This window comes from Homo sapiens, chromosome 2, assembly GCF_000001405.40.
Source record: "Homo sapiens chromosome 2, GRCh38.p14 Primary Assembly".
NCBI lineage: Eukaryota > Metazoa > Chordata > Mammalia > Primates > Hominidae > Homo > Homo sapiens.
In genome coordinates, this window is record NC_000002.12 from 101,376,872 (window position 1) to 101,388,612 (window position 11,741).

Sequence of the window (11,741 nt, forward strand, 5' to 3'; positions counted from 1 at the left end):
AGAAAACTTCCCTCTCGTCAGTAGACACCAGCTAGACTAGGGAAACTGTAAAATTAGGAAATGCTGATTTCCTCTCACATCATGAATTTCTAAATCCTAGGAAGAAAAGCTTGGAGAGCTTCTGAATATAGAGAAGTTCCATTTAAAGATTAGGCCCCCCCTTGGAGATGTATCAAAATATTATAAATTCTAAACTGAGACTTAATTCCCAAAGATGTTTTACTTGTACTAAAACGATCTGTCCACAAATATAAAACTCTAAGTGATAAATTGTTATTTTTTTCCCACTGTGGGAATCTCTAATGTGAAAATATACTCTATGAAAAGAAATTTTTTTAAACCACACAAACTGTTGTATAACAAAAATGTATTCTACTCTTAAAAAAAAAAAGAAATGTTTTTATTTCAGGAAAAGCATCTGATAAAACCTCTTTGGGTTTCATTTACATCCTGATCTTCAAAATGAAAATTGATCCAATACGATCAGGGAGAATATCACCCCACAGACGAGTCCTCCCCGGTCCCAAAGGCTTGCTGCCCTGATTCACCAAGAAGGTGCGAACCTAAAACTCATGCTATTCAAGGCTGCATGCTCTGTAAGGGAAGATATTGCAGGGAAAGAGACATTTTTGGGTGGCCTTTCTTTGTCAATCAATATTGATTGAATTTTCACAAAGTAGATTTCTTGGCTGAGCACAAATTCATTTGGTCAAGGGGCATGCGTCCATGCTTATGCCATGGAGGGAGAGGGAAATAAAGAGGAGAGGGCGTTGCTGATTGCAAGTGACTCTTTTAAACTAGACAGTTATTCTCCATTTGCCATTTTAACCTGAGCTGGGAAATAGATTCCCACCCCTAATTCATCTCATTAATTAAATGAAGGCATCACAGCACCCAGGAGTAAACAGAATAATTGGATAAAACAGACTTTAAATAAACTAACAATTATTAGGCAAGACATGTTGGTAGGCTCCGACTTGTATGGGTATGATGCCTGACAAGTGGAAAAGCCACCTTCCTTTCATGGCTTTTTAGACTAATCTTTTAGTATTTTAAAAATATTTAATTGTCAAATAAAGATTGAATATATTCAACATATGCAATGTGATGATTTGATGTTCATATATATTGTGTGAGCATGGCCACAATCAAATGAATTCACACATCCAACCCATGCTGTACGTTAGATCCCCAGAACGTGTTTGTCTTCTAACTGAAAGTCAGCACCCTGTAATCAACATTTCCCCATTCCCCTCTCTCGCCTGGTCCCTGGGAACCACCATTCTGTTGTCTGCTTCTATGAGTCGACTTATTTAGATTCCACATATAAGTGAGATCATGCGGGATTTGTCTTTCTGTCAGACTCTAATCTTGACTTCATTTTACAAATGACTTAAGCCATCCTGGGCCTAAATCACAGTTCTTAGTAGCCTTTACTGGAAACCCAGGAAATGCATATAAGACCGGCTTAAATGTCCTCATTATCCTAAAGCAGCGTTAGCATCACTTGGGTGCTGCTTCCCCTAAGAGGTCCTAGGGGAGGGGCAAGCTGTCCAGGCCAATAATACGTCCCTCTCATCCTTGCCCTTCAGGCAGTTGGAAGTCACTCTTCTACTCTAAATTTGCAGGAGTTCGCACTTTATAACAGTCTATGTAGAAATCTATATATCAAATCTATATCAGCCGTGATGGCTGTGCTCACCTATTCCTTCTTCACCATTCTTGGAGTATCCTACCTCCAGTCAACCATGGAGCCAGAGGGCCCTCAGATATCCGCCTCTCCCCTCTTCGTCATACCAGTGGGAAAAGTGACACCCTGAACCGGCCGGGTATTTCATTCTAGCCCAGCAACTTTGTTCCACAGAAATCGCCAACCTAGCTGGGTGCAGCACTTTGGGAGGCTGAGGCGGGGGGATCACGAGGTCAGGAGTTCAAGACCAGCCTGGCCAAGGTGGTGAAACCCATCTCTACTAAAAATACAAAAATTAGCTGGGCACGGTGGTGGGTGTCTGTAATCCCAGCTATTCAGGACGCTGAGGCAGGAGAATCGCTTGAACCTGGGCAGCAGAGGTTGCAGTGAGCCGAGATTGCACCACTGCACTCTAGCCTGGGCGACAGAGTGAGACTCCATCTCAAAAAAAAAAAGAAAAAAGAAAAAGGAGAGATCACCAACCTAGTACTTTTCCAGCTGAAAGTCACATTCTACTTATCATCCAGTCAGATTCACTTTCCAAATTATCTCCTCCAAAAAGAAGGGCAGGCCAATAATGCCCAATTATTATGCCCTGGGGTGGGAGTCAGGACAACTGCGTCCCATTAAATCTAGGAACTTTATTGTGACATTTTAGGGAAAGTTCAGGGAACTGTGGATCAGGGCAATGAAAATATCTGGAAAAAATCCCTAACTAGGTGGGATGAACTAGCCCAGGCTGGACTTGACAGATTCATTTAAAAACTCTTTAAGGTCCCTAGAAAGCTGTAAAATATGAAGAGCTGTTCATTCCTTTCATCATTCTCAAGATATTGGCTTCTCACGGCTGTGGTTAAGGAAATTACATCTGCTGAGCATTTTCTTCATTAAATTTCCTGAGACTTCTGGAGCCATGGATACTCAATGTCCTTCACCTATTTCAACTTGGATCTAACTTTATCTTTAAGACACAGGCCTGTTAATGGATCTAAATATCATTTTTGAGTGACATGACTTGTCAACCTACATGCAGGGATTGCTAATGGAAAAGCACTTTCTTAACTCCATGCCAAAGAACATACATCAGCTTTGACTACAACAAGCTATCAGGTTGATGCTTTTAATTTGATAAAACTAGGTATAAATCAAATATTAAGTCAATCAGTAAAGAGGCAGACACCGCTATTTATTCTGAGAGGGAGGCAGGCCCCTGGCCATGAAGGGCCTCCTAGGCCATATTAAGGATTCTGTTGCTTTTCCTCAGGATCTGATTTGGATTTTAAGAGAGTATCCCAGCTGCTGGATTGGGGATGAATTCAACATGATGAAGAGTGGACTGGGGAGACCAAGCAGGGGCAACTGTAATATTCGCTCTTTTGAATAGAGAAGAGTTGAATGTGTGAAAGCTTCTATCTATCTATCTATCTATCTATCTATCTATCTATCTATCTATCAATCATCTATCCATCCATTCATCTATCATCTATTCATCCATCCATCCATCCATCATTCATCTATCTATTCATCCATCTATCATCAATCATCTATTATCTATGTATAATCTATTTTTCCATTTATGTATCTGCTTATTAAACACGTACACATTATAGATACAATTGTTTGGCACCAAAGGGAGCTCTGAAAGTAGCCTGTCCTCGGAATAGTCTCAGACTTGCATTCCTCCCTCCCTAAGCCTGAGCTGTTCTTGCCCCAGTTGTTGGAGGCTTCTTGCTCCCGGGCTGTATCCTTGGTGGAGATGGCGCTCACTAGCCCATGCTGGTGCAGAGTCTGCAGTAACCGGGGCTAACTTGATGAACGCAGAGGCAGGCTTGCAGCTGAAATGCCCCCTCTCCCAGGGATGCCCAGTAGGCTGTAGGAAACGGCCGCGAAGGCACCCCTTTTCCTTCCTCAGAAGTCAGTGGCCTCCCAACTTCCTCCCTGTCAGGACTTGCTTTATGGTCCAGTAAAGCCCAGTTCTGGCTTTGTCTTCCCCCTTGGGATGAAACAGGGATGACTCACGCCCTCCCCAGCTGCACAGACTAACAGAGGAATAGGAGCGCCCAGAAGACACCACGTGGGATGGTTAAAAATGCTGTTGCAGGCCGGGCGCCGTGGCTCATGCCTGTAATCCCAAGCGTGGGAGGCTGAGGCAGGTGGATCACCTGAGGTCATGAGTTCAAGACCAGCCTGACCAACCTGGTGAAATCCCATCCCTACTAAAAAAAATACAAAAATTAGCTGGGCATGTTTCATGTGCCTGTAATCCCAGCTACTCGGGAGGCTGAGGCAGGAGAATCACTTGAACCAGGGAACTGGAGGTTGCAGTGAGCTGAGATTGAGCCACTGCACTCCAGCCTGATGACAGAGTGAGACTCCATCTCAAAAAAAAAAATGCTGTTGCAAGTTTTCCAGTGCACAGGCTGGAAGGCAGTTTTCATTGTTCTGAGTATGAGCTGCCTTCTGAAGCTGAGAGGAGCAGGTGGCCTTGACCTGTCGTTATCATCGTAAGACATGGGCGCTTTCTTGAATCTCCCCGCTCCTGTGGGAGATGCTGTGAAGCTCTGAAGCACGTGACGACGATCTCTGCCTTTGCTGGAGACCTCTTCAGGCCCGGCGACAGGCAGGAGGGGCACCTTGCTGGTACCTTGCCGGGCTGTCCTTCGAAGCTCTACCCAGGTGTTTGGGTAGCTGCGGACACTTCTACCAGATACCTCGCTATATTCCAGTGGCCCTAGGAACCCCTTGCTTGGCTTGTTTATTCGGGGCTCTTTTTCAATGCCAGCCACATGGCTTTGACTTGTTAAGTCCCTGTGTTCAGTATTGCCAAGATTCTGAAGGTGAAACCTAAAATGTAAAGCTCCACTTGGAATGCGAACCTCACACAGGTGAGTCACATCTGGGCTTACGCCGATTATGGGAAGTCGTAGACCCTAGGGTGACAAAAGCCCCATTGCTTGGTAAGCTTTGCATTGAAGTGTGATGCTTACTAAGGCCAAACTTGGTTTTGTAGGCATTTATTTACATCATATTTCAATACTTCAGAAGCTTAAACAGTGTCAGGGGTATAGCAGTTCTGAGAAACAGTTTTACAAGAAGACATAAACTAAGGGGTACCCATGAGTGCGTCTCATCCTTCCTCTCCCAGGCCAGAGTAACAGGTATGCTGAGATGCTCTTGCCCTTGGCCCCGGGGTGCTCACCTCCAGCCTCGAGCTGCCTCACCCAGTTAGCCAGGGGGCTGCACAGGTGTTTGCGTGTCCTACATGTGGCCTGTCATGAAGAAGGTCCGCATACGTGGCTCTAGGCTGTGCAGGCAAGTCTTCCCAAGGGACTGAAGGAAGTCACCCTGAAATCCTCTCCCCATGAGGACCTCTCCTAAGTCAGATTTCTCACTGCTCCTCGCTCCAGCTCCTGCTGCCATTTGCCTGGGGGTTGCCAGTTGACAAATCCTCCCCCAGCTGGAGTGCTGCCGCAGCTTTGTCCCAAGTATATATTCTGTTGCCTGTCCCCAGAGCGGCTGTGCTCTGGGTTCTGGGAGCCACATGCTCCAGCACGACTGCTTTCAGGATACCTGAATGAGGAAAGCCTGGGAAGCTTAGAAAGGTATCCTGGATTGGAAGGCCGAGGCAGGTGGATCACCTGAGGTCAGGAGTTTGAGACCAGCCTGGTCAACATGGCAAAACCCTGTCTCTACTAAAAATACAAAAATTAGCCAGGCGTGGTGGTGGACACCTGTAATCCCAGCTACTTGGGAGGCTGAGGCAGGGAGAATTGCTTGAACCTGGGAGGCAGAGGTTCACGGTTGCAGTGAACCGAGATTGCGCCACTGCACTCCAGTCTGGGAAACAAGAGCGAAACTCTATCTCGAAAAAAAAAAAAAAAGAGTAAGAAAAGAAAAGAAAGGTATCCTGGAAATGTACTTCTAGTAACAGTAAGCTTGACTGACCAAGAACAGGGAGAATATTCCATGAGAAAGGAAATGTTTCTTTTCCTGGCTTCTTGCTGTAACCTGGTGGGGAACAGGGTCAGCTGAAGTGTCTCCATGTGGTCTGTCGTGGCTGAGGGGAAACAATGGCTTATCCAGGATGCATCTTGCATTGTATAGTTGCTTTGATTAGCCTCTGTAAGAACTAATACATTGTTTGGTTATTATGTTTTCCGTGCTGTGCATAAAGAATAATAGAATTTCACAGATGGGATGAGGCCTGTTGATTTTCTAAAGCATCACTACATTTAGGTGGAGTGACTAAGGTCCTGGAGGTTAAAGGGCTCACCCCAGGCCATCCTGGGCATTTGCTGCTCCTCTGGGAAGGACGAGGGGATCTCACATGCAGCTCCCACACCAGCTCCATGCAGACATTTCCCGGGGAGGATGCGAGTTCAGGCTTTGCATTTTGAATTCAGATAAAGGGGCCTGCATCAATGTTCTGTTAGTGCTTAAATGTCTTTAGAAGTGTTTTCTTTCAGAGAGCTTTTGAAAAAGTGAATTAAAAAATGCTGGCTCCTTATTGCACATATCTCTGGGGACAGGATAGAAATAAATTGGAAAGACAATATATAGACTCTGTGTTGCACGCCTCCGTGCTGGGGAGATCAACTACTGGCTCTTCCTTTACCAACCCTCACTCCCACCCTCGCCCTTTTCCATAACAACAGGAGCTGTCTGGACTCCTGCCAGTGTTGCACAAAGCATTTTACACCTATTTCCAGCACTTGCAATAACCCTCGGAGGCAAAGATTATTATTCCCATTTTACAGATGAAGAAACTGAGGCTCCCAAAGATCAACTAACTTGCTACAAAGCACACTGCTTGGTGAGTGGTGGAATTCTAATTTATCTGATTTCAAGGGTGAACATCAATGTGCATCTCAGAGTTCTGTTAAAGTCATGTGACCCAGAGAGAAACCCACCCCCAACTCTCTGTCAAAAACTTCCCAGGACCCGTGTGAGTGAGGGCAAACCGTCGTCTACCTGCAGAACTCCCCTTCTGATTCTGGCAGCATCAGCGAGGCCATGGGGTTCTTCATCAGATCAGCCACCACGGGGTCCTTGGCTGTCATGTAGAAGAAAGGAATCCCAGTGCTATTGTTGAAGGGGCCATCACTGACGGGCAGGCAGTTCCCAAATGGCAGTCCTTGGATCTAACAAACACCAAAAAAGGCTTTTTCAGTGCAGAGCTGTGGCTCGACTTGATCTGGGAGCTTAGCTTGTGCCTCTGGCTAGGAAATACAACACCAGGGATGAGGGGGGATCATGGCATCACAGTGGCTCTGACAGGTAGTAAATCAAGGTGAGGTGGTCCCCAGTCTGCCCAATTCACTCCGTGGTGGCTCTAGAATTTCTCCACAGGAGATACTCAGCAGTGGCATCCTGTTTGGAAGGGGTGGTGAAAGGATTCTTCTTGAAGCTGCCTGTGCATGGCAGATATACTCACTTTGTTAAATTTCATGTTCTTTTGGGGAGGGACAATGACATTTATGGGAGGTGGTGCTAAGCCTTTTCCACAAGCTGCCTGTTACAGCCCCACCGCTTTAACTCCCAAGGTTAACTGCCTGTCCCAAGTTTTGAGCAACTTTAGGGAGGATGTTTAAGTCTTTAACGTCTTGCCTGCTCTCTGGACTTCAGGAACTTTCTATTATTGTTTCTTTTAGGGCTGCATCACTTTCTCATTTATTAGCTGCATTTTTTATTGTAATCAATAATATTTCATTGTACGACTCAGCAAGTTATGAGAAATTGATTTGTTACCCTTTTTGCATAAAGGAAGTCATAGAAACATGATATGCCAATTTTTCTTCATGATCACCCACTAGGGTGGGAGAAGGGTGGTGCCATAGTTTGGATATCCATCCCTCCAAATCTCATGTTAAATTCTGATCCCCGGTGTTGGAGGGGAGGCCAAGTGGGAAGGGTTTGGGTCATGGGGGTGGATCCCTCATGAATGGCTTGGTGCCCTCCTTGAGGTACTGAGTGAATTGTCCCTCTGTTAGTTTCCTTGAGAGTTCCCCTGAGAGAAGGTTTAAAAAAGCCTGGTGCCAACTGGGCATGGGGACTCACCCTGTAATCCTAGCATTTTGGGAGCCCAACAGTTCAGGATCAGCCTGGGCAAGATAGCGAGACCCCCATCCCTACAAAAAGTTTTTTAAAAAATTAGCTTGGCATGGTGGCACACATCTATAGTCCCAGTTACTCGAAAGACTGAGGCAGCAGGGTTGCTTGAGCCCAGGAGTTTGAGGCAGCAGTGAGCTATGATCACACCACTGCATTCCAGCCTGGGTGACAGAGCCAGACCCCATCTATAAAATAAATAAATAAAAATAAAAAGAGCCTGGCACCTTCCCCTCTCTCTTGCTTTCTTTCTTGCCATGTGATCACTGCACACACTGGCTCTACACCTTCCACCATGAGTGGAAGCAGTCTGAGGCCTCCCCAGAAGCAGATGCTGCACCATGCTTTCTGAACAGCATGCAGAACTGTGAGCCAAATACACCTCTTTTCTTTATAAATTACCCAGCCTCAGGTATTTGTTTACGGTAACACAGATGGACTAAGACAGGTGGTATATCATGTTTCTGTGACTGCAGATATAAACAAAAATATTTATTTATTTATTTTATTAGTATTATTATTTTTTTGAGACAGAGTCTCACTCTGTTTGTTGCCCAGGCTGGCATTCAGTGGCACGATTTTGGCTCACTGCAGCCTCCGTCTCCTGGGTTAAGCGATTCTTGTGCCTTAGCCTCCCAAGTTGCTGGGATTACAGGTGCATGCCACCATGCCTGGCTATTTTTGTATTTTTAGTAGAGACAGGGTTTCACCATGTTGGCCAAGCTGGTCTTGAACTCCTGACCTCAAGTGATCTGCCCGCCTCGGCCTCCCAAAGTGCTGGGATTACAGGTGTGAGCCACGACGCCTGGCCAACAAAAATATTTAGTGCTGAGGTTTTCCCAAATCCTTCCAGTCAAGCATCCCAATTTTCCATGATTTTATCCCTAACAAAGTGCACCTTGTTGTTACTTGCTCAGAATTCAGGGGTTGTCTTTGTCCTTGAAATGTTGCATGATAATGGTGTGTAGAATTATAAAAGGCAGGGCTTTAATTTTTCAGGAACATGAAACGTTAAGGAATCTTCCAAAATGGTGATATAACTTTGTTCATATATCCCATTTTTCAGCTTGTCATAGCTGCCCAGAGTCATGCTTTGCATCCATGGCAGTACATTGTGTAAATGCTGTCTGAATTTATTGTTTAAATCAAATGTCAATAAGGATTAGAAAGAGGAACTCCTAACAAAGCTAAGAGAAGGGATATTGAAAGTCAAAATATCTCTAATACATTGGCACGAGACTATTTAATTTCTTGAAAAGATTTGTGTTTTCAACTAAGATCAGTGTCATCTTTAACCTTTATGTCTTTTTAAGATGTGTCTTAGGAGTGCAAGATACAGCTGTGAAAAATCATCTAGGTGTTGAGAATATCCAACTGGATCTGCATTTGACACTGAAGAGGTTAAGACCATTGCCAAACTCGAAATAAAGTTGCCATTTAGGTAGTTTTTAAGCAAAAAAGGACCTTAAAAACTAAACCTAATTTTATAGACGAGGAAAGCAAAGTGGAGAAGCCAGTGACTTGGCCACAGTCTTGGTGAGACCCAGAGCTGGGGCAAGAACCTGGCCAATGTCCTATGCCTTCCATAAAATATTATTTCTCTTTTTTGTAGGAAGTAAAGAGGAGTTCACATTACTGCCTTGTAGCTCTTTCATCTCTCTTAAAACCCCCAAAAGCCTTCTGGAGGCATGGAAGTTACATCTGCATTACTTATCCATGTCATTCTAGGTGGAATCATGTCTAACAGGTGAGTAAAGCATTTGCGAACTGAACAATTAAAAGTGCAGCGAATAGCTCATTCCAGCATTTACACACTTTGCATAATAAGCCTCCTTTCCAGAAAAAATCGTGAACTCCATTTTCTTAAATGCAGATTTCCATCGAAGCCCTCGTGCTCTCTCTCTCCCCATCCCTGCTTCAGCTCCAGGTCAGAAGGTGATGGGGAGTTCAGGTCTATGGGTTTGTGCCCTGCGCTGGGAAGGGCTGTCCCCGCCTACTCTGCGATTCCAAAGGCGTCTGTGGCTGCTCTGGTCTAGGTCTCGGTCGGACGCTGGTTAGGTGTCCCTCTCTCTGCCTGGCCACCTCAAGGTGGGGATTCGGTACCCAACCCTACCTGGCAGGAAACCTGGTTATCCATGTCCCTCTCCGACCCTCCCCCGACTTCGCCAGGCTCACGGAGGCACCATCGCCTTCCATTATGTACAGTGTCGAGGGTCCCATCCAGGGCACCGGGCACGTCTGGTGGACCCGGATCTCAGTCCCGAGCGGTCGCGAGCACGTCCCTGTCCCCGTCCCCCGGCCGCCGCCTGAATGCCAGGCCCCCTCGCGCTCCCCGCCGGGCGCTCACCTTCTTGTGGGTGGACACGGTGGCCAGGCAGCCCCAGACGCTGGCATGGGCCAGGGAGCGGGCGGTGGCGGCGCGCAGTCTAGGGCCCGGGGGCGCACTGGCCGTCTGGCCGCCCTCGCGCCGGTAGGAGAACATCCCGGGTGGCGCGGGGGGCGGCCTGGCCCGGGCGGCGCCCGCCCGGGGCCGCAGGTGCGCGTCCTCCTTGTGGGCAGAGGCGGGGAAGCTTTGCTGCCAGATGCTGCCCGAATCCTCTAGCAGCGCGGGCATAGCCTCCTCAGTGGAGGCGCTGTCCAGCTCCTCGTCCACCTCGTTGGTGACGGCCCAAGACACGGAGCTCACGATCACGTAGCCCGCGGCCGGGGACAGCAGGGCGCTGCAGCACAGCAGCCAGGAGAGGCGGGTCCCCGGCCGCGCCGGCCGCCGGCCGCGGCGCACGGACATCTTGCAGGCAGCACGCCCGGCCGCCGGGGCCGCCAGCAGCGCTAGTGCCGGGGAGCCCGGCAGCGCCCCACTGCGGCGGAAGCAAGGAGCCCGAGCCCCCTTCCCGCCCCTGCAGGATCCCCGGGCGCGGTCCCCCGCGCGAGTCCCGGCGAATCCCTGCAGCCGCGCGCGAAGCTCAGAAGTCCAGGCTCGCAGAAGACCAGGTTCCACGCACACGCCGCGCATCCTGCGGAGTCCTCCTCGCGCGCCAGGTCCCGGGATGGGTTCGTTTCCTGCAGGATGGCACAGGTTCCGCAGCCAGAGGGTGGGCGTTCAAATCCCGGCTTAATACACGCGTCTGCTCAACAGCTGTGAGACCTGCCAAGCCACTTAACCTCTCTGTGCCCATTTCCTTCATTAGCTGACAAAGATAATATCTACCTCTTAAGGATGATGGATGGGACGGTTGAACGATTAATATTTGAAGAGGCTTAGAACAGTGTGTGGCATGGAGCAAACGCTCTACAGCAGTCCCTTGGTATCCGAGGGGTATTGGTTCCAGGACCCCCGTGGATACCAAAATCCAGAGATGCTGAAGTCCCTTATAAAAAAATAGTGCAGCATTTGCATATAACCCATGCACATCTTCCTTTAATATCTGATTTGCTTATAAAATGCCTAATACAATGTAAACACTATGTAAATTGTTGTTTACTGTATTGTTTAGGGAATAGAACAAGAAAAAAAGCCAATATATGTTCAGTACAGATGCAATCACCCTTTTTTATTTTTTATTTTTCTGATAAAGGGTCTTGCTCTGTCTTCCCAGGCTGGAGTGCAGTGGCACAATCACAGCTCACTGCAGCCTCAACTTCCCAGGCTCAGGTGATCCTTCTGCCTCAGCCTCCCAAAGTGCTGGGATTACAGGTGTGAACCACCACGCCCGGCCATGGCTGTTTTCTTACTCCTGCCTCCTCATGGGAGAAGTGACTCATCTGATGGATGAGTTTCGAAAGGCAAGCTTAACATGCTTTTCTCAGCCCCTGCAAAGCTATTCTTTTCTGAATGATCTGTTCACCCTTCTCTTCTGTCTTGCCTGAGCTGTCCTGCCCCTTCAGCAGATGAGAGGTCGCCCTGCCCTGTCTGTGACTAAGGGAGTAAGTTCAGTTGCAGAAC

General features: G+C 47.5%; 1 protein-coding gene across 3 annotated transcripts in view; it reads right to left on the reverse strand.

Moving 5' to 3' along the window:
- Nucleotides 1-10,632, reverse strand: part of CREG2 (cellular repressor of E1A stimulated genes 2) — a 41,954-nt gene extending 31,322 nt beyond the window's left edge. Inside the window, exons 1-3 of one of the 3 annotated variants that reach the window (XM_011510777.3) lie at nt 10,146-10,632; nt 6,662-6,831; nt 4,689-5,819 (exon numbers count right to left, since the gene is read on the reverse strand). In XM_011510777.3, the coding sequence (XP_011509079.2) occupies nt 5,804-5,819; nt 6,662-6,831; nt 10,146-10,586 (627 nt within the window). In that variant the 5' untranslated portion in view covers nt 10,587-10,632 and the 3' untranslated portion in view covers nt 4,689-5,803. Of the gene's footprint in view, nt 1-4,688; nt 6,210-6,661; nt 6,832-10,145 lie in introns of those variants that run through there. The other 2 variants (XM_017003565.2, NM_153836.4) reach the window with 2 other exon arrangements.
- Between the last annotated feature and the right edge of the window lie 1,109 nt (nt 10,633-11,741).